The sequence below is a fragment of the Homo sapiens genome, chromosome 2, assembly GCF_000001405.40.
Source record: "Homo sapiens chromosome 2, GRCh38.p14 Primary Assembly".
In the NCBI taxonomy this organism is placed as follows: domain Eukaryota; kingdom Metazoa; phylum Chordata; class Mammalia; order Primates; family Hominidae; genus Homo; species Homo sapiens.
The window spans coordinates 65,954,861-65,978,137 of NC_000002.12; the positions used below are offsets into that span (position 1 = coordinate 65,954,861).

Genomic DNA, 23,277 nt, shown 5'->3' on the forward strand with positions numbered 1-23,277 from the left:
CATTAGATGTCCCATGGTCAGATGCTGTATCTATATCAGGAGCCAGCACCCATACAGGAACTGTTTTTCAAAAGATGCCACTTCTCCACTACTGGTGGCATGACTTTGCTTCAGTACCCTTGGGGTCTGCATTGTGGTTCTCCTCAAGTCCAGAGGGCATCTTCTCTCATAGCAGTACCTCTATAACGCAGAGTCTCCCAGGTAATATGGGCCAAGTGGCAGGCTTACTTTCAGCACAGCTTGGTCCTATTTGTAGAGCCCTTTTGTGCTGTAGTCCCCACCTAAACCTGGTAGCTATCATGGCACCCAGTAGGAGGTTAGGGTAGTATCTCCAAATATGGAATATGCTGCTTCCAGAAACTGGCCTGTCAGCATTGTGCTTCCTTCTTATTGATTGGAGGTGTGAGATGCAATAATGTGTCCTTTACTTTGAAAGGGGTGTCCCAACATCCTTGGACATCTAAAACCTTTACTGATATGGCATGTCCCTGAATCTTTATAGGGTTTATTTCTGCCCCCTCCCTCCTCTGGAGATATATATGATCAAGGCTTCCACATACTTGTTACTTGTTATTCCTCTTGTCCAATAAATGTGGTGTCATCAATATCTACAATGTCCAGTAGATTCCAATCCCTTTAAATTGTAGATGCAGGACCACTGCTACAAGTGCCATGAGAGTTAGCATAGCCCAGGAGCAATCATGTAAATGCATTCTGTTGCCTGTTCCATAATGAAAGAGAACTGTTTCTGATCCTTGTTCCTGATAAGGATGTAAAACGCCGCATTCACCAGCTCAATGGCCATGTACTTGAGGCTGTGTTGGTCTACTCTCTAGAAAAGGTACTACACCTGACACAGAAGCTGCAATTGGAGCTAAGTTTGATGTTATCCACTATTATCCTCTAGGATCTGTTTTTATTTTTAAGGAAATAGGAGTGGTGAGTTAAATAGGAATATAATGGGGCCACCACCCTTGTAACCTAGTTCTCAATAAAGCATTTGGAGGTGGGACCAATCTCTTCCATTTTCCCCAGAACATGAGAGTGTATTTTATTTACAATTTTTGACTTGGAAGGCACAGTTTTAGAGACTTTCACCTTGGCCTTCCCGACTTCAATAGCTCTTACTTCAAAAGCTAAGAAGCTCATGGAAGGATTTTGCCAAACAACAAGTATGTATACTCCAATTACATATTTTGGATTCAAGGAAATTCCACTGGGTAGCTCTGTGAACCCAGTGAACCTGTTGTGAGCAAGGTTGGGCCCAGGACTCCATTGATTACTTGTCCCTTATAAGCTCCCACTATAACAGGTAGCCATGAGGACACTTGTGTACCCAGATAGCAGTTCAGCTCCTGTGTTCAACAGTTCTTGAAAAGTTGATTTATTCTACTTTTTCCAGTGTATGATTGCCAGAATAGTGGTCATAGATCTCTTTGGAGAAGAATTAGTGAAATTATTACCATGCAAACTTGCCTTGGTATTGCAGGGTCTTTTCTTCTAGGTATCCAGCTTTTCCTTCAGTCAATGGTTCTGAATTTAAAAACTAGCTCAGGTTCAGAAACTAGACAAAGGATCATGCCTTCTTATTACAGTGTCTGTCCTTAGCCTCCTTATCATCTATCCATGATTTCTTTGGTTTAGACTGAGCAATGGGCTTATTGGCTGTCCACCTATTTTGCCCCTACCGTGCCTTATTGTGTTAACCATCTACCTAGCTCTTCATGAATCAGATACTCCTGGCTGCCACTTGGGCTTTGCAATGTATCACAGTCACTGTGCCTGCAATGGACTGAATATTTGTGTCCCCTCATAATTCATATGTTGAACCCCAATCCCTAATATGATGTATTAGGAGGTGTGGCATTTAGGAGGTTATTAGAAAATGAGGGTGGGGACCTCATGAATGGGATTAGTGCCCTTATCAAAGAGACCCTGGAGAGATCTCTCACCTCTTTCCAACCTGTGAGGATACAGAGAGAAGACAGCTAGCTATGAACCAGAAGGCAGGCCCTTACAAGACATGGAAGGTGCTGACAGCAGCACCTTGATCTTAGACTGTCTAGCCTCCATAACTGTGAGAAATAAATGTTTGTTGTTTAAGTCACCCACTCTATAGTATTTTTGTAATAGCAGTATGAACAAACTAAGACAGTGCCTTCCTTGCTTCTGACAAGTAAGGGCCACCACCAGGGTGATCATCATCTCCTTTCTTACCAGTGAGCCCAGTTCTGCAATAGCATCTCCTTCCCTAAGCTCTAGTTTACAGAGGACAGCCCCTCTCTCTGGCCCATTTCTTATTCCCTTATTGCTTTGCTAAGTGGGGTGTCCTCTGGGCCCTCCTGCAGAACATTGCCACCAGATGAGCTTTCTTGCTCTACATACCATATCCACTCTAGCGTGCCAACTTCCCAAGCTTCTAAGCTCCTCATCCTACCATCTGCTATGGCAGCTTTGGCATTTCTACTTAACTAAGTTTGGGCTCTTTCTTTCTCTCATCTTCAGAGCAATCCTAACCACATGTAAGCAACATTTCCTGGGCCAGGATATTAAATCCTATATTATGAGAGAGTGTTCCCATGTTGATAAACTCTCCCTCCCTCAACTTTATATTCCACACCCACTCTTGCTCCAAGATCCCCAGGACCCAGTTCCATACACACTCTTTCGGCTTCTCTCAGTATAAATTGGCTAGGTTTTCAGAGCATCATGGCAATAGAGTCCCTCTCCTTCCTTTGCCTGCCCAGCATATCATTGGCCAGACTGTGTTGTGACTTGATGCTAGGTCAAGTTACAAACCCCAGCAGGGGTTTGGGTGGGGATCGAACTTGAGGGAGGCTGTGTGTTGCTCTGCAGCACAGGAGTCTCTGAATCATCTTTAAGAAATTGGGGACTATAGACCCAAGGGGTTCAGGGGAATCTGGAGTGTAAAGATTTTCAAGTGCATTGACCCAAATGACCCAGCTCAAGTCTCAGGGTTCCACTCCTCAATTAGGGCCCTAACCCTGGCATAGGAGACTTACCAGGGAAGAGAATCCAACTTTCTCTGGAGCTTTGCTACTCTTATAATTAAGTCTCGGGCTTGATCCTTAACCTTCTCCTCCCCCAGGAGATCAAGGGATCAGAGCCTCTTTACATGCTGCCAAGGAGGTCCTCTGATTTTCACACTTAGCCTTCAATTAGTGATTAATTACCCTTAGCCTTTTCTTGTCTCTCTCCACTGCATCAGTGCCACTCAGCAAGCCATTGGATTCCATTGTCTTTATAATTAGTACTTCTTCAGAACCTCTCGAAAGCTTAAGCTACTGCATCTGCCAGTGCATTTTCTTCCAAGGGTGTTCTATCGCAGGATATCGCTGATAAAAAGCTTTAACAATTGCACTGCTACAGCATGCCTGTAGTTTTCAGCGAGTCACCTACCACTAGGAATGGGGTCCTCACTGCCAGCGGGTTAGTAGGTGATCCAGTTTCAAAACTGCATTTTAGTTCAGTTTTCTTCCTCCTCAGATCACTCCTGGCAACAATTGTTTTAGGTTTGCTTCCTAGGAAAATAGGCTCTGAAATGAAGGCTTCTGTGCAGGATATTTATTGATGAGTACTCTCAGGATCAATACCTCTAGGGGAGAAGAGGGAAATATTGAACTGTGATGCAACTGCCACAAGAACCTCATAACCACTCTCATGGGGAGACCTGGAGCTGGGATGGTTCTTCAGCATTTCCCTGCCATGAAGCAAGGGATTTGGATCTCGATACCCATAACCTACTAGTCACTGGATATGGGCTATCTCGGGGAAAAGTGAGCCCTTGAGCACAGCAGCTCTTTTCTGCTAAAGGGAGTCCCAGAGAGGAAGTCAATTTAAATCTGTCATCCATCAACACCCAGTAGTTGGCGAAATGCTTGCCTAAGCCCAGAGTGAGAGCCTGAGCAGCACATCACAGTGTCCATTGCAGTTCCTATATACTAGCAATAAGCCAGTAAAAATATGATGAATGACAATCCCATTAACAATAGCAACTGGAAACATAAAATGTGTTCAGAGTACCTTAAAGACTCACGTGAAAAAAACAAAAAAAACCTTTATTGAGAAACAATATCTTGACGAATGAAAATATTTACCTTCTTTCTGAATAAGAAGACAATAGGCTGGGCGCGGTGGCTCACGCCAGTAATCCCAGCACTTTGGGAGGCCAAGGTGGGCAGATCACCTGAGGTTAGGAGTTGGAGACTAGCCTGACCAACATGGAGAAACCATATCTCTACTAAAAATACAAAATTAGCTGGGCGTGGTGGTGCATGCCTGTAATCCCAGCTACTCGGGAAGCTGAGGCGGGAGAATTGCTTGAACCCGGGAGGCGGAAGTTGCGGTGAGCTGAGATCACGCCACTGCACTCCAGCCTGGGCAACAAGAGTGAAACTCCGTCTCAAAAAAAAAAAAAAAAAAAAAAAGAAGAAGAAGACAATAGACAATAGCAAAAGTACCAACTCTTTTCAAGTTAACAGAATAAAATAAGCTATAATAGAACTAAGTATAAATATTACTTTGTGTAAGATAAATATGGTACTTAAAATCACTACGGAAAGAAAGGATTATTTAATAAATGTTTTTGAAATAAATGATTAGCAATTTGGAGCAAAAATTAGATTTTCTACTTCATACTATTTACCAAATTACGTCCCATATGAATTCAATGTTTAAATAGGTGAAAATACTAGAAGAAAATATGAGTGATTTGTTAACAATCATCTTTTGGTGGAGAAGATGTTTAAGGCATGATACCACAGGCAGATAGTATATAAGAAAAAGATAATTAATTAAAATTGCTAAAGACTATTTTTTTATAAAAAGTGATAAAAATTTAAAAGCAAGTGAAAAACTAGGAATAAAATATTTATAAGGATAGTTCTACTACTATTCTTGAGGTATAGAGAACTCCTGTGATTTAAGAAAAAGACAAAAATGTATAAAGGACATAGATAATTCACAAAAGCAGGATAAAGTCAATAAATATATAGAAAATATTATTACCTACTATTAATCAAATATATGCAATTGAAAGCAGCAAATAATATCATTTATGACCTAGCAAATTGGATAAAATTTTTTAAAAAATTGTCATACCTACTGTCGTCCTGGAGGTGAGAAGTGCACATGCTCATCTCCAGAGAATAGAAACAGATACATTTATGGAGAATGTAAAGCCCACATGGAAGGTGATTTTATGATCTATATCCCCTAACTTCATTCAGATCCTTTGACCAAGGAGGTCACTTCTAGGAATGAATCCCAAAGAAGCAATTGCTGATACACATGAAGATTTTTGTACAATAATGTTCATTATACAATTATTGTTTCTAATACTAAATGTTAGAGCCAACCTGTCTCACAATAGGCATTTGTTGAATCAATAATAGCTTATCTATATTATGAAATACTAGATAGCCTTTAAAAATGATGTAGACCAATATTTAGTGACACAGAAAAATATGCATAGTAGAATGTAGGTGAACTTAGGAAGCAGCAAAATTGCATACAAAAGCAATCTCATTTTTTGCTAATGCATGGGAGGGGGGGAAAAAAACCCTAAAAGTGTATACTCTAAAATATAAATGGTGATTATTCCTTGTTGGCCAGGTTTTAGATGAATTCAATCTTCTTCTTTTTGATTTCTAGTATTTTATTTTTTCCCTTTTTTTGTAAAGAAATTAAGAATTACTACTCCATAGGCAGAGCAGCCAATTTCCTGTGTTTTCTACAATGTGTTATGAATCAGGCTGCAATGAGTACACTAAAAGTAAATGAAAATGTCCTGTGTTACCCCAGTTCTGATTCCATCCTGATGCTATTCTGATGATTTTAGAGAGATGGATCTAACTGAGAAAGAAAAAAAAAATGAAAGAAACCACAGAATCAGATTGGCTCCATAGGTCCAGCTGTAATGAACATGGATTTTTAAAGATATATACAAATTTAAAAGAATAAACTCAAACCAGGGATGTATAAAGGAAAATGACCAGCAGGTTTTTTTTTTTTTGGTTTTTTAAAAGAAAAGAAATAGAAAATATTTTAAAAAGCTAGAAAAGCCCAAAGTGAACCAAGTCCTTCAAAAATGCTTAGTATAGGGAAAAGGATTTAAAACTAAGCATGGAATAAAGAAGAAAAGAAACAGTTTTGGCTGGGTGCTTGGCAGCACTATGGTACTGTTGATGAATGAGTGTACAGAGCAAACTCCGTCAGTCCTATTTTACATTCATCTTTTCTGCCAAAAGGAATGAGGCTGGGGCTGTAGAAGGAAGAACAAACATCAGTAGGAAGGAACTGTGGCCCAGTGTGAATGAACAGATCCGGGGACCTCCCTGCTCTGGATGAATTCTAATTTCCTGGCTGGAGCAGATGCATTTCTATGTTCTTGCACATGAGAAGGCAAGAAGGCAGATCACTGCCAGTGCTCATGGACCAACTGTGGAGGGGATGAGAGACGGATCAGCACGTGGGAGCTGGGCCAGCACAGTTCCTTGCTTCAAAAAAGAAAGGAAGGTGAGGCCCTTAAATTTCAGCCCGGTGAGCAAGATTCTCAAACAAATTATTAAGGGGAAGATTCCAAGGAAACTCAGAACATGAAGCAGATAATCTTCATAAAATAAAGATGAACTGGCCAGGCATGGTGGCTTATGCCTATAATCCCAGCACTTTGGGAGGCCAAGGTGGACAGATCACGAGGTCAGGAGATCGAGACCATCCTGGCCAACATGGCGAAACCCCGTCTCTCCTAAAAATACGAAAATTAGCTGGGCATGGTGGTGCGTGCCTGTAATCCAAGCTACTCAGGAGGCTGAGGCAGGAGAATCGCTTGAACCCGGGAGGCAGAGATTGCAGTGAACTGAGATTGCGCCACTGCACTCCAGCCTGGCAACAGAGTGAGACTCTGTCAAAAAAAAAAAAAAGAAAAATGAACTACGTGGAGAAAAATAGTACAAGTCAGAGAGCAAGTGAAAGACTTCTATGTCAATGAGGTGCAGGTGATGAGGGATGGAGAAGGTTAAGGAGGAATAATGACGCCACCTACACACATCTGGGAGTATGTTGGGAGATGTGGTAATAAGAGAAGGGGATGTCACAGGAGTCCTTTATGTCATCGTTTTTAGGAAACTCAGGGAAAGGGGCAAGGCTGTGGACTAATTCTGGCATTTCAATCAAGGAGGCAGCCATTAGTGATTCGATGCAGGCCTCCAAGCTTTAGAAATGAGTTGATATCTGGAAGTGCTCCCACAACTGAAGGCTTCACTGCTGTCCTGTATTCTGTGTTAGGTTTGGTGATTGCCTGATCTGTTTCTTGGGAGTTATTTTTCATGGCTAAGAGGAGAAAGATGATAAAAAAAAAAAACAATACGCAAAGAAGATGCCGCAACTTTTAAAGGAAGAAAAGGTGAAAGCCATTATGAACCCCCAAGTTTCATTTTCATCCCTCCCTTTCTCCTTTTCTTCTTCCCTTCCCTCAATCTCAAATATTTATTAGACTACTGCTATACACAAAATATTATGCTAAATGCCAGGAATAGTTACTCATTTAATAAATATTTAAAGTGATTACTAGGCACTAAGGATTTAGCAGTGACAAATACAGGCAAAGTTCCTGTTCTGATGGTGCTTGAAGTATCATGTGCTGGGTGGGTTCTGGAGGGGATGCAGAGAAAATAATAGGCAAATGAGTATATAATCTGTGAACCTGTGACATGTGCTATGAAGAAAAAAGAATCAGAGCAGGAAGATGGAGAGCGATGGTGAGTAAGGTGTGCTGGTTCAGGGAGGGCCTCTCTGGAAAGATGACATTTGAGCAAAGGACTACATGAAGTAAGGCCTGAGCTGTGCTAAGATCTGGGGCAATGGTTTCTAAACTTGATACCCAAATGATGAATAGGAGTTTTCCAGTTATACAAATAACACAGAAGAACAACAATCTTGCAGATAGAGGAAATACCTTGTGCCAAGTCCCCAAGGCAGGAAAGAGCGTGGCTTATCTCATCTAAGGGACTGAAGGAAGGCTGGTTTGAAATGAAATGTGAGGACAGCCAAAAACGAGCTTGAAGATCAGGAAGGTCCAAACACCTGACAGCCTTGAAGTTCTGCTCAGGGTCTGGACTCCTCCTTAATGGCAGGGAGGACTCGTCGATAGTTTTAAGCAGGGTAGTAGCAGGATCACATTTTTTTTTATTATACTTTAAGTTTTAGGGTACATGTGCACAACGTGCAGGTTTGTTACATATGTAAACATGTGCCATATTGGCGTGCTGCACCCATTAACTCATCATTTAGCATTAGGTATATCTCCTAATGCTATCCCTCCCCCCTCCCCCCTCCCCTCACCGCACAACAAGCCCCGGTGTGTGATGTTCCCCTTCCTGTGTCCATGTGTTCTCATTGTTCAATTCCCACCTATGAGTGAGAACATGCGGTGTTTGGTTTTTTGTCCTTGTGATAGTTTGCTGAGAATGATGGTTTCCAGCTTCATCCATGTCCCTACAAAGGACATGAAGTCATCATTTTTTATGGCTGCATAGTATTCCATGGTGTATATGTGCCACATTTTCTTAATCCAGTCTATCATTGTTGGACATTTGGGTTGGTTCCAAGTCTTTACTATTGCGTAATAGTGCTGCAATAAACATACGTGTGCATGTTTCTTTATAGCAGCATGATTTATAATCCTTTGGGTATATACCCAGTAATGGGATGGCTGGGTCAAATGGTATTTCTAGTTCTAGATCCCTGAGGAATCGCCACACCGACTTCCACAATGGTTGAACTAGTTTACAGTCCAACCAACAGTGTAAAAGTGTTCCTATTTCTCTACATCCTCTCCAGCACCTGTTGTTTCCTGACTTTTTAATGATGGCCATTGTAACTGGTGTGAGATGGTATCTCATTGTGGTTTTGATTTGCATTTCTCTGATGGCCAGTGATGATGAGCATTTTTTCATGTGTTTTTTGGCTGCATAAATGTCTTACTTTGAGAAGTGTCTGTTCATGTCTTCGTCCACTTTTTGATGGGGTTGTTTGTTTTTTTCTTGTAAATTTGTTGGAGTTCATTGTAGATTCTGGATATTAGCCCTTTGTCAGATGAGTAGGTTGCAAAAATTTTCTCCCATTTTGTAGGTTGCCTGTTCACTCTGATGGTAGTTTCTTTTGCTGTGCAGAAGCTCTTTAGTTAAATTAGATCCCATTTGTCAATTTTGGCTTTTGTTGCCATTGCTTTTGGTGTTTTAGACATGAAGTCCTTGCCCATGCCATGTCCTGAATGGTATTGCCTAGGTTTTCTTCTAGGGTTTTTATGGTTTTAGGTCTAACATGTAAGTCTTTAATCCATCTTGAATTAATTTTTGTATAAGGTGTAAGGAAGGCATCCAGTTTCAGCTTTCTACATATGGCTAGCCAGTTTTCCCAGCACCATTTATTAAATAGGGAATCCTTTCCCCATTGCTTGTTTTTCTCAGGTTTGTCAAAGATCAGATAGTTGTAGATATGCAACATTATTTCTGAGGGCTGTGTTCTGTTCCATTGATCTATATCTCTGTTTTGGTACCAGTACCATGCTGTTTTGGTTACTGTAGCCTTGTAGTATAGTTTGAAGTCAGGTAGCGTGATGCCTCCAGCTTTGTTCTTTTGGCTTAGGATTGACTTGGCGATGCGGGCTCTTTTTTGGTTCCATATGAACTTGAAAGTCGTTTTTTCCAATTCTGTGAAGAAAGTCATTGGTAGCTTGATGGGGATGGCATTGAATCTATAAATTACCTTGGGCAGTATGGCCATTTTTACGATATTGATTCTTCCTACCCATGAGCATGGAATGTTCTTCCATTTGTTTGTATCCTCTTTTATTTCATTGAGCAGTGGTTTGTAGTTTTCCTTGAAGAGGTCCTTCACGTCCCTTATAAGTTGGATTCCTAGGTATTTTATTCTCTTTGAAGCAATTGTGAATGGGAGTTCACTCATGATTTGGCTCTCTGTTTGTCTGTTATTGGTGTGTAAGAATGCTTGTGATTTTTGCACATTGATTTTGTATCCTGAGACTTTGCTGAAGTTGCTTATCAGCTTAAGGAGATTTTGGGCTGAGATGATGGCGTTTTCTAGATATACAATCATGTCATCTGCAAACAGGGACAACTTGACTTCCTCTTTTCCTAATTGAATGCCCTTTATTTCCTTCTCCTGCCTGATTGCCCTAGCCAGAACTTCCAACACGATGTTGAATAGGAGTGGTGAGAGAGGGCATCCCTGTCTTGTGCCAGTTTTCAAAGGGAATCCTTCCAGTTTTTGTCCATTCAGTATGATATTGGCTGTGGGTTTGTCATAGATAGCTCTTATTATTTTGAGATACGTCCCAACAATACCTCATTTATTGAGAGTTTTTAGCATGAAGGGTTGTTAAATTTTGTCAAAGGCCTTTTCTGCATCTATTGAGATAATCATGTGGTTTTTGTCTTTGGTTCTGTTTATATGCTGGATTACGTTTATTGATTTGCGTATGTTGAACTAGCCTTGCATCCCAGGGATGAAGCCCACTTGATCATGGTGGATAAGCTTTTTGATGTGCTGCTGGATTCGGTTTGCCAGTATTTTATTGAGGATTTTTACATCAATGTTCATCAAGGATATTGGTCTAAAATGCTCTTTCTTGTTGTGTCTCTCCCCGGCTTTGGTATCAGGATGATGCTGGCCTCATAAAATGAGTTAGGGAGGATTCCCTCTTTTTCTATTGATTGGAATAGTTTCAGAAGGAATGGTACCAGCTCCTCCTTGTACCTCTGGTAGAATTTGGCTGTGAATCCATCTAGTCCCGGACTTTTTTTGGTTGGTAAGCTATTAATTATTGCCTCAATTTCAGATCCTGTTATTGGTGTATTCAGAGATTCAACTTCTTCCTGGTTTAGTCTTGGGAGAGTGTATGTGTCGAGGAATTTATCCATTTCTTCCAGATTTTCTAGTTTATTTGTGTAGAGGTGTTTGTAGTATTGTCTGATGGTAGTTTGTATTTCTGTGGGATCGGTGGTGATATCCCCTTTATCATTTTTTATTGCGTCTATTTGATTCTTCTCTCTTTTCTTCTTTATTAGTCTTGCTAGTGGTCTATCAATTTTGTTGATCTTTTCAAAAAACCAGCTCCTGGATTCATTAATTTTTTGAAGGGTTTTTTTTGTGTCTCTATTTCCTTCAGTTCTGCTCTGATCTTAGTTATTTCTTGCCTTCTGCTGGCTTTTGAATGAGTTTGCTCTTGCCTCTCTAGTTCTTTTAATTGTTATATGAGGGTGTCAATTTTAGATCTTTCCTGCTTTCTCTTGTGGGCATTTAGTGCTATAAATTTCCCTCTACACACTGCTTTGAATGTGTCCCAGAGATTCTGGTATGTTGTGTCTTTGTTCTTGTTGGTTTCAAAGAACATCTTTATTTCTGCCTTTATTTCGTTATGTACCCAGTAGTCATTCAGGAGCAGGTTGTTCAGTTTCCATGTAGTTGAGCGGTTTTGAGTGAGTTTCTTAACCTGAGTTCTAGTTTGATTGCACTGTGGTCTGAGAGACAGTTTGTTATAATTTCTGTTCTTTTATGTTTGCTGAGGAGTGCTTTACTTCCAAGTATGTGGTCAATTTTGGAATAGGTGTGGTGAGGTGCTGAAAAGAATGTATATTCTGTTGATTTGGGCTGGAGAGTTCTGTAGATGTCTATTAGGTCTGCTTGGTGCAGAGCTGAGTTCAATTCCTGGATATCCTTTTTAACTTTCTGTCTCATTGATCTGTCTAATGTTGACAGTGGGGTGTTAAAGTCTCCCATTATTAATGTGTGGGAGTCTAAGTCTCTTTGTCGGTCACTCAGGACTTGCTTTATGAATCTGGGTGCTCCTGTATTGGGTGCATATATATTTAGGATAGTTAGTTCTTCTTGTTGAATTGATCTCTTTACCACTATGTAATGGCTTTCTTTGTCTCTTTTGATCTTTGTTGGCTGAAAGTCTGTTTTATCAGAGACTAGGATTGCAACCCCTGCCTTTTTTTTGTTTTCCATTTGCTTGGTAGGTCCTCCTCCATCCTTTTATTTTGAGCCTATGTGTGTCTCTGCACATGAGATGGGTTTCCTGAATACAGCACACTGATGGTCTTGACTCTTTATCCAGTTTGCCTGTCTGTGCCTTTTAATTGGAGCATTTAGCCCATTTACATTTAAGGTTAGTATTGTTATGTGTGAATGTGGTCCTGTCATTATGATGTTGGCTGGTTATTTTGCTCATTAGTTGATGCAGTTTCTTCCTAGCCTTGACGGTCTTTACAATTTGGTGTGTTTTTGCAGTGGCTGGTACCGGTTGTTTCTTTCCATGTTTAGTGCTTCCTTCAGGAGATCTTTTAGGGCAGGCCTGGTGGTGACAAAATCTCTCAGCATTTGCTTGTCTGTAAAGTATTTTATTTCTCCTTCACTTCTGAAGCTTAGTTTGGCTGGATATGTAATTCTGGGTTAAAAATTCTTTTCTTTAAGAATGTTGCATATTGGTCCCCAGTCTCTTCTGGCTTGTAGAGTTTCTGCCAAGAGATCCACTGTTAGTCTGATGGGCTTCCCTTTGTGGGTAACCTGACCTTTCTCTCTGGCTGCCCTTAACATTTTTTCCTTCATTTCAACTTTGGTGAATCTGACAATTATGTGTCTTGGAGTTGCTCTTCTCGAGGAGTATCTTTGTGGCATTCTCTGTATTTCCTGAATTTGAATGTTGGTGTGCCTTGCTAGATTGGGGAAGTTCTCCTGGATAATTTCCTGCAGAGTGTTTTCCAACTTGGTTCCATTCTCTCCATCACTTTCAGGTACACCAATTAGACGTAGATTTGGTCTTTTCACATAGTCCCATATTTCTTGGAGGCTTTGTTCGTTTTTTTTTTATTCTTTTTTCTGTAAACTTCTCTTCACACTTCATTTCACTCATTTCATGTTCCATCGCTGATATCCTTTCTTCCAGTTGATTGCATCGGTTACTGAGGCTTGTGCATTCGTCACGTAGTTCTTGTGCCATGGTTTTCAGCTCCATCAGGTCCTTTAAGGACTTCTCTGCATTGGTTATTCTAGTTATCCATTCGTCTAATTTTTTTTCAAAGTTTTTAACTTCTTTGCCATTGTTTCAAACTTCCTCCTTTAACTCGGAGTAGTTTGATCTTCTGAAGCCTTCTTCTCTCAACTCGTGAAAGTCATTCTCTGTCCAGCTTTGTTCCGTTGTTGATGAGGAGCTGCGTTCCGTTGGAGGAGGAGAGGTGCTCTCATTTTTAGAGTTTCCGGTTTTTCTGCTCTGTTTTTTCCCCATCTTCGTGGTTTTATCTACCTTTGGTCTTTGATGATGGTGACATACAGATGGGTTTTTGTGTGGATGTCCTTTCTGTTTGTTAGTTTTCCTTCTAACAGTCAGGACCCTCAGCTGCAGGTCTGTTGGAGTTTACTGGAGGTCCACTCCAGATCCTGTTTGCCTGGGTATCAGCAGCAGTGGCTGCAGAACAGCGGATATTGGTGAACCGCAAATGCTGTTGTCTGATCGTTCCTCTGGAAGTTTTGTCTCAGAGGAGTATCCGAACTTGTGAGGTGTCAGTCCACCCCTACTGGGGGGTGCCTCCCAGTTAGGCTATTCGGGGGTCAGGGACCCACTTGAGGAGGCAGTCTGCCCGTTCTCAGATCTCAAGCTGTGTGCTGGGAGAACCACTACTCTCTTCAAAGCTGTCAGACAGGGACATTTAAGTCTGCAGAGGTTATTGCTGTCATTCGTTTGGCTGTGCCCTGCCCCCAGAGGTGGAGCCTACAGAGGCAGGCAGGCCTCCTTGAGCTGTGGTGGGCTCCACCGAGTTCGAGCTTCCCGGTGCTTTGTTTACCTACTCAAGCCTGAGCAATGGCAGGTGCCCCTCCCCCAGCCTCACTGCCACCTTGCAGTTTGATCTCAGACTGCTGTGCTAGCAATGAGCAAGGCTCCGTGGGCGTAGGACCCTCTGAGCCATGTGCGGGATATAATCTCCTGGTGTGATGTTTGTTAAGCCTGTTGGAAGAGCGTAGTATTATGGTGGGAGTGACCCGATTTTCCAGGTGCCGTCTGTGACCCCTTTCTTTGACTAGGAAAGGGAATTCCCTGACCCCTTGTGCTTCCCGAGTGAGGCAATGCCTCGCCCTGCTTTGGCTCACTCACGGTGCGCTGCACCCACTCTTCTGCACCCACTGTCCGGCACTCCCCAGTGAGATGAACCCGGTACCTCAGTTGGAAATGCAGAAATCACCTGTCTTCTGCATCACTCACGCTGGGAGCTGTAGACTGGAACTGTTCCTATTTGGCCATCTTGACTCCACCCGGATCACATTTTTATTTTAGAGAACTGTCTGCTGCAAGGAGTAAACTCAGTTACTGAGTTTAAGTGAGTTCAAAATACACACGGGCCACCAGGGGACAATGTCAAGTAATTTATGAGTATGAAAATCAGATGAGAGGTCTGACTGTGCCAGAAATCAATGTCTGTTCCAAAGTCCAAAGGGCTGGTGAGACCTGGGTTAGGATTTCTGTTTACTTGTCTCTAAATGAGAAAGTTAGATTGGATTTCTTAGGTTTCTTTCAGCTTTAAAATCTCATGGGCAAGGGTAGAAAATAAAGGCTGAGTTTGTAAGAAGAAAAATTTTGAAAGAATTCTCTGTACAAATGAGTAATTTTCATTTAGAAGCTGATAGATAAACTCGAGGCTAAACTGAGCATAACTGAGCGTAAACTCCTTGAGGCTGATCTAGAAAGCCAGGACTATCCTAACCTAAGTAGGTTCTTCCTTATCACCATCTCTTGGCTGCTAAGCAGTTGTGGCTGCCATGTGGCATTATTTATGAACAGACCATCAACTTATCTTTGTGGCAACAGAAATAGAAGCAGAGTAGCAAGGGGCAAGGAGGGCCTTGGAGATGATCTACACACAAGTCACAAGAGCAAATGCAAGCACCAAAGGATGCAGCCAAGAGAAGGTGGTTGTGAAGGGAAGACAAACAACATCTGTTTTGAAATATGTGAGCATTATTTGATTAGCGTTTTTGCAGTACAAAGGAGGGAGAAAAAAGAAAGGAAAAAGAGAAAAACGTTGAGACTCATTATCTTATGATTAAAGATCCTTGGAGGCAACAGACTTGCAAACACCTATGTGTATAATACAATGACAACAACAGTAAGAAAGGTTTTAAAGGAAGCAGAATTGATCAGGAGAGAAAAAGAACTGTTGAGTATAGCAAAGAGTGGGACAGTGGATGGAGAGAGAGATTATTTGAGGTTATGAGCAGCTGGTGTTAATGTTTCCAGAAATATTGTTGATTTGCTTGGTGATGCTAAGATGACTGTAAATATACATCACATTTATGGGCTTTATGCCTATGAGTATCAAATGTAATAACAAAGTTGGGAGTACTTGGAAGATTATAAAATTCTATACACACATAAGGAATGATTGCTACTTAAGCTTTTTCAGCTAGAAAAGAAAAATATTCTTTTTGATAAGGATACTTACTTGTTCTTCCCCACTTAAATCCACAAAGGAGTAGATCAGACAGGGAAAGGTGTGTTTTGCTTCTCACACAATTCCCAGAGAAAGAGACGTGTTCATATGCTACAAGTGGGGAAATTGGACAATTTATTCTAGATAATTTAGGACAATGATATTCCAGTTCTTCTGCATGTCTTAGCTAGGTCTATAGGGAACCACCAGATCTGTCAATTCTGTTAAAGTCTCAGTCTGAAGATTGTTTCATTCCTGTGAGTGCCTTTGATAAATCAGCAAGTGCCTTAATACTCTGTAGACATGAACAAATGTAATTTGAAGGGAAACAACATGGGAAGGTAGGGTTTGGAGAAGGTGTCATCCTCCTTTAGGGTTTCCCAGCTGACATTGATTCAGGTCAATCAATTGAGAGAGAGGAAAGAGAGACAAGGAGGGAGAGAGAGAAAGTGAGGGAGGGAGAGAGCACTTGCTATATTCTCTGGAGGGCAAGCACATATCATGTATATAATTTTTATTAGATAATTAATAAGACATTTCTCCTTCACTGAGTATAAACTCCTTGAGGCTGATCTAGAAAGCCTGCATGACTATCCTAACCTAAGTAGGTTCTCCCTTATCACCATCTCATGACTCCTAAGCAGTTGTGGCTGCCATGTGGTGTGATTTATGAAGACAGAAAATCCTATTCTCTCCTTCTAGGTTTTCCAACATAGGTGTCTCCTTGCTTTCACGTTGTTTTCTTCTATGTCTTTTCACCCATATATATTTTTAATAATAGTGATGCCAATGTATTACTTTAAGGACATTTTTTAAAAATCAACACTTTTAGAGAATACACCCCTCACTCCCCAATATGTTTTGGGAGGAAACATCCTTTCTCTCATCTCTTCTTTCTGTGGTTTTGTTTTCTGTTCTCTTTCTTCTTTTTCTTCCCCATGCATAGTTGAATGGTCAATATTGATCTCCACACCTCCTTTGGATCCCTGAGTCAAATGTCTGGGCTATAAGAATTTCTCTGGAGGGGCTGTACTCCCTCCCCAAGGTGGCTGAGTAACATTCTACATATGGCAGGCACATGGCTGCACATTCTCTCATGGTGTGGGATTGGGTGTTGATTGACACAGCACAAATAGAAACTTTATTTTATATTCCCAAAGCTCAACTCAGCTGTACTTCTCACCACGTGGCAAAGGATGGACCAAAGGCTGGGAGCAACTGGGAGTGTCTGGGTGAGTTTGGATATTTAATTTTGCTCTGATCCATTGAGAGACAGAGAGGGAAGAAATTGTGTGGCACAGAGCCTCTGGAGTGTAAGTGACACTCTGAAAGCATTCCCTTCTTCCTCTGCGGCTTCTCCCGGATCTCATAGAAATAGGGGGCCACATAGAAAATGCCTAAATTTAAAGTCTAACTGGTGCATTTAGGGAATTGAGGGAGAAGGGAACTCTTCTAAACTAGTAGAAAGACCCCCAACATAGAAGTAAGAAAAAAACCTTTAAAATACCTGAAGACATATTAAAATAAATAGGGCTGCCTTGCTTTTCCCTTCCTGACAAGATTTTTTATGTAACCACACAAGCACAATCACTGTGTCTGGAAGATTTGGGGACTCCACAAACACATGATGGATTCAAGACAGAGGCTTGGAGGGCTGTGCTGATGGGGGTTGAACCCCAGAGAAAGATTCTTGTGTAGTCCCATGGATTATAACCCCTCCCCATATACCATATTTCATTGTATCTAAGGATCCATCCAGTGTAATAGAGGCCATTATTTTATGTTTCACTAAGAAATACAAGTAGTCACCTATTAAATTATGTTATGCCATTGATTGTAAGATGCATTTTGATTTTACAGATGTTAATACATGAACAACTTAAGAATAGGTGAGGTACAGTAGTCAAAGATCTACAAATCCTAGCAGGCAGCAGAGAGGACCAGCCCTTCATCCAGTTCTCTTTATCAGCACACTAAGATGTATGCCCAGAACTTCCTTGGGCTTCTCTTTAGTGAGCTGAGTAGGCCTTCCTTTATATCTCACCCAGCTGGCGATTAGAGGTGGCTCTGGCCTTCTCCACGTCTCCTATGCGCTTTGGAAAGTTAAAATTGTCTTCAAAGTTCTGAGATGAGCATATTTGTGAAATGGATGGTATATGCTTTTCAGACATCTCCATCTTGCTGAATCCAATTTATTGTTGTGGCACTCCATTGACAATTCTCCCTAATACTGTGTGGCTTCATACCCCATGCTGCCTATCCAGGCTATACTGTGGAACCCAATCACTGTGTTTATGTTGAGAAGGTTCTCCAAACTCCTTTCTTTTTTTAATCTCTCCACATCAAAACTTATCTGTCCGGGTCCTATTCCCTTAAGTCCTTGCTAGGTAACTAGCTAGTTACTCAGGGAAGGAATAGTGATAAGCTAATAAAAACTAAGGGCAGGCTGGGCATGGTGGCTCACACCTGTAATCCCAGCACTTTGGGAGGCCGAGGCGGGTGGATCGCCTGAGGTCAGGGGTTCAAGACCAGCCTGACCAACATGGTGAAACCCTGTCTCTACTAAAAATACAAAAATTAGTCAAGCATGGTGGCCGTTGCCTGTAATCCCAGCTACTCGGGAGGCTGAGGCAGGAGAATTGCTTGAACCTGGGAGGCAGAGGTTGCAGTGAACCGAGATTGCACCATTGCACTTCAGCCTGGGCAACAAGAGCGAAACTGTCTAAAAAAACAACAACAAAAAAACCCCCAAAAAACCCTTAGGTTATTCCTCCAAAGAAACACATTTTAAAGGTAACTGGGATCTTTTTGAAGCTTTTCAATTCTAAAAGTAATGAGTGAGAGATCAAAATAATTAAGAAAACATTTTATCTGAAGAGTCATATTCTTCAAATCAGAGCATATACATAGTAACATGTTCTCAAGATTTTACACAGACTGATGGAAGGATCTAGAGGAGGTGTAACAAATGCCAAAGCTGCTCCCCACCCCTGAGCCCATGGAACACACTATATTTGATCACAACACATTTTCTTATTGAGCTTGGACCCAACCTCAGAATCCCCCCCTAACAGAACCCTTACCACAAGGAACTGGGGTTGACATATGAAATGAAGCCCATTTTCCAGCCCTGATATACGTTTTAATGGGCAGGGATATTTATCAGCTTACATACATTTTCTCAGTTTGAAGCACAGTCAGGTCCTTTCCATTTGGGACCTCTGGATCCATTCAGTTAAGGTGAAGGAAATAGTAAGAAAGTATATGGAGTCATGTTTTCAGAAATATCTCAGTTTAAATGCAGCAAGACATTTGTCGTAACTGTCAACTGGAGAAGGTATTTTTGGGGAATAGCATGTGCTTGTCTTAAGTGGAGCTTCCCCAGGCAACACAGACAGAGAGAACTTGGGAAGGCTCTGGCTCAGGAGATGAATAAAGGGCTAGAGAGTGTCTGTGTGTGGCAATGTTGAAGAATGGATTAGCCTGGAAGGGAAAACCCTGATGGATCACCTGAGACTAGTCATCAAGTGCTAGGAGTATTACTGTGGAAAGGGTGTTTGCCAGTTTTCTCTTCTGTCTTACTGAAGATGAGGAACCTTACATCAGAAGGAAATACAGGTTTGCTTAAAGAAAGAGCTCTCAGGTAAGATCACATACACAACCAAGTGTTTAAAATACACTAGATGCTCTTCTGTTGGGGATGACTATCTGTGATGGAGTTGAGGGGCCACAAATTTCCTGCTACCAAGCAGCTGACAACATGTAGGAGACACCCCCTTAAGAACAAATGCTCCCATAATGCCCGTGTGGAGACTGTAGGCACTGCTGTCCATGCTTTACATATATTGACGTATTGTACCCATTTCACAGATGAGGAATTGAGGCCTGGACAAGTTCTATGAGTAATCTGGAGTCACACCGCTGGCAGAGATTTGTGATTTACTTAGAGCTAGGATTCATACCAGACTGGATTCAGGCTCCAGAATCCATATCCTGAATCATAACCTTATGCTATCTCTCCAGTCACTATTCTACTTGGCAGAATGAATTAATCCCCCAAAAAAGTATAAAGGAGAGAGAACCTTCATGAATTACTTAATCCCACTCACTGGGACACCCTAGTGGCCACTGAGTAATTCTCTGTGATAGATTGAGTGATTCTCTTCTAAACTCTGAGAGCAGCACAGTAGCCTCATCTGATTTGCATTCTAGTAAAAAGCATAGTCATTCCTGATATGAAGACTGAGAGTGAATGAATGAATGATGGTTGTATGTATGTGTGTAGGTATGTTTATTCTTAGCATCAGTCTAGTTTTGGACAATAAAGTAGGAGAGGGAAAAGAGCTGCTTCAGTCAAGGAGGGACATGTTGTTATGCCCATGGTCTTAGGTAGTCTCAGTACAGCCATAGTCAGGATTCAAGACTTTATTCCTGCTAAGGAACTCAAAACTCATGTCTTGTTAAGACCTTACCCATCACTTAACTTTCTCCATAAAGACCTCCCAGACGCACTCCTTCCATACCAAACACTTCTTTCTTTGCTCTCAGCCTTTCTGAATGCACTTCATATAACTTCAACAAGAAATGGCGTCTAATTCTAAGAAATTCTAATAAAGTATCAATTCTGGGAGGTTGCACATGAGCTCTCCAGGAGAAGTGGCATGTCTTATTTCTTTCTGTCCTTGCTCAGAGTTCGGGTTTGGCCCAGAACAGGTGTTTGAGAAATATCATTTGCATTCAACTGAGTTGAATATTTCCTCCCAATATCTAGCAGGTGAAGCAAAGCAGGCCCAGGAAGGGGACTAAAGCACCACACCAGGGTTACTGCAATACCTGATGTTGATTTTCTTTGTTTAGAAAAGAGACCCCTAGATTTTGTGGTCAAGAGATTGATCACCTGTGTAGTAATAATTGCATTTATTAGCTCATTTTATAGCAGGAGAGATGAGGCCATCCAATTTTTTTATTGGCAGCTATGAAAATATAATTCGGCTCTTGTTTCTTAGCCCAGTACTTGTTCCTCTGTAATTCTATTAGAGATAAATCTGAGAAGTTCTGGTAAGTGAGAGAAGTTGCAAATAAACTTATTTGCATCTTACAAGTTAGAGTCTTCAGGAAATAGTATCCAGGGTAGTGGTTCTGATGATATGGTCTGTGGGCCACATGCCATGAGAAGCAGCTTGGGCTCTTATTTAAAGTGCATAACTTGAGGCTGAGGCAGGAGGATTGCCTGAGCTCAAGAGTTTGAGGCCAGCCTGGGCAACCTGGTGAAATCCCATCTCTACTAAAAATACAAAAAAAAAGTAGCCAGGCCTGGTGGCATATGCCTGTAGTCCCAACTACCTGGGAGGCTGAGGAACGAGAATCACTTGAACCCGGGAGGTGGAGGTTGCAGTGAGCCAAGATTTTGCCACTGCACTCCAGCCTGAGCAACAGAGCCAGACTCTGTCTCAAAAAAATAAAATAAAACAAAACAAAATAAAATAAAATAAAATAAAAAGCATAACTCCTGGGCTCCTCCTTGGAACTACTGAATCAAATACCATGCCCCAGCCCAGGAATCTCCATGTTCTGTACATACCCTAGGTCATACTCATATCCATGAATTTAATGGGCCAGCTGGTCAAATGTTTTCCTACAGTAGAAACAGTTTATCAGATAGACTTTTTGCATTAAAAAAAGTTCTTAGGAGATGATTTAGCTCCGCTCCCTTCAGCTACTTTCCTAAGGGGCCTTTCTTTTTGTATGTTCCTTTTCATCTTTCTGGATGTTTAAAATGTCATGAAAAAAGAATAAAAGAACAGTACACTTTTTAAAACACTAGTTTCCATGAACTTACAATCTGGTCTGAATCGTATATATGTACATAAAAATTGTTTTCATATACATATGAATCATTGTTAATTTGCTGGACTCTTACAATTGTGATGGACAAATTTGTGTGTGTTTGTGTTCATGTGTGTATGTTTGTGCACAAAGGGGTCCTCTCTGGCAGCTGGCTCCTCTAAAATGGGTCATCCTGCATAGAAGTAATTTGGGAAAGAATGAGGCTTGGAGTAAACTCTGTCTGACTGAGTTTCCTTTCTAATGATGTTTTAATGCCCTTACTTTCTCCTACAGCCCCTTTTTCTCCCCCAGGTTTTCCCAGACAGCTTTTTTTTTTTTTTTTTTTTTTTTGAGAAAAAGTCTCGCCCTGTCATCCATGCTGGAGTGCAATGGAGCGATCTTGGCTCACTGCAACCTCTGCCTCCTGGGTTCAAGCAATTCTCCTGACCCACCCTCCCAAGTAGCTGGGATTACAGGCATGCACCACCACAGCCAGCTAATTTTTTTTTTTTGATCTTTAGTAAAGAAGGGGTTTCACCATGTTGACCAGGCTGGTCTCGAATTCCTGACCTCGTGATCCACCCAGACAGCTTTTAATAGAATCCTGAGGTAGAATCCACTCAGAGTAGGGTTAACAGAGAGGCACCATAACCGAGTGGCCAGAGGACCGGGACCTGAAGTGCCTGAACCCTTGCATGGGTTTCTTGTTGATTTTCCTGCTCTGGCTCCCTGGGCCATGACACCTTCCTCTTCTTCATTTTCAGACTCTGCCTTGATTTCAGGTGCATGAGAAGCTACTCATGACATCTCTCCAGGTCTGTATTTTGCTATCTATAAAATTTGTACTCTGTCAAAGCATCATCAAAGATGCTCCAAGGTTATTATTATTATTATTTTTTAAGTATACTTAGTTCCCTTGGAGCAAGAGGTCAAATTTCTGCCAGGAAGGTGCTAATCAAGCCTGGCCTGTTGCACTATTGAAACTTAATTTTTTCTCTTAGAGAGAATTTTCAAATAGGATTCATATTGCAATCTTGAAAATTGAGGCCCTAGAATCTGAATATAATTTGATAAATCATCTGGTCTAGTGGGCACATGGAAGCCCAAAGAGATAAGAATTTCCCAAAGTCACACAGCAAGTCAGTGGCAGAGCTGGTGAATCCAGTCTCCAGACTCCTGGCCCAGTATTCATCCCAGAGTGGGACCAGAAAATGGCCTATCTCTTCTATGGCAGATCTTTGGAGCATGCCCATTAGAATGGCTGAGGAGTAGGAGAGGTCCCAAGCATCAGTGATTTAGGTTGAGAGGATGGCATCCCTCAGGCGGAAATGCACTTGAACTCTTTGCTTTTCTTTTCAGGACAGACAAGCATTTCTCACAGCAAAAATCGGTAATTTTACAAATCATATTCACCCAAGGTCTTTGCAAATTGTAATACTGCTAAAAAATTAAAACATAGAAGCAGTTTGTTTTTCACTCATTCACATTGCTGTATGGTACACCAATTGGAAAGAGACTGTGAGCCCTCCTAATATTATCTGTGCAGTGTTGGTACAGCTACCTACTCTCTGTGTGTAACATTGTTTTCTTCTTTAAAATGAGCCTGACAGGATCTGCCTTATGTAACTTCTAAGATAGTTGTATAAAAAATGAGGCTGGGCACAGTGGCTCATGCCTGTAATCCAAGCACTTAGGGAGGCCAAGGCAGATGGATCACTTGAGGCCAGGAGTTCAAGACCAACCTGACCAACATGGTGAAACCCCATCTCTGCTAAAAACACAAAAATTAGCCCAGTTACTGGGAGGCTGAGGGAGGAGAATTGCTTGAACCCAGGAGGCGGAGGTTGCAGTGAGCCAAGATCATTCCACTGCATTCCAGCCAGGGCAACTAAGTGAAACTCTGTCTCAAAAAAAAAAAAAAAAA

At 41.4% G+C, this 23,277-nt stretch overlaps 1 long non-coding RNA gene across 2 annotated transcripts in view, besides 1 other annotated feature; it reads left to right on the forward strand.

Annotated features, from left to right (window-relative positions):
* The window catches only part of LINC02934 (long intergenic non-protein coding RNA 2934), a 298,411-nt gene that overhangs the window by 164,786 nt on the left and 110,348 nt on the right, over positions 1-23,277 (forward strand). For both annotated transcript variants that reach the window (NR_187140.1, NR_187141.1), the window contains one exon: positions 16,688-16,759. This is a non-coding gene — a long non-coding RNA (long intergenic non-protein coding RNA 2934). The remainder of the gene's footprint in view (positions 1-16,687; positions 16,760-23,277) is intronic.
* Positions 2,825-3,613: an enhancer, noted in NCBI's record as "OCT4-NANOG hESC enhancer chr2:66184819-66185607 (GRCh37/hg19 assembly coordinates)". NCBI's record gives its function as "activates a minimal SCP1, AML or CMV promoter by ChIP-STARR-seq in naive H9 embryonic stem cells {active_cell/tissue: H9 hESC(naive)}" and the evidence as "EXISTENCE:reporter gene assay evidence [ECO:0000049][PMID:30033119]".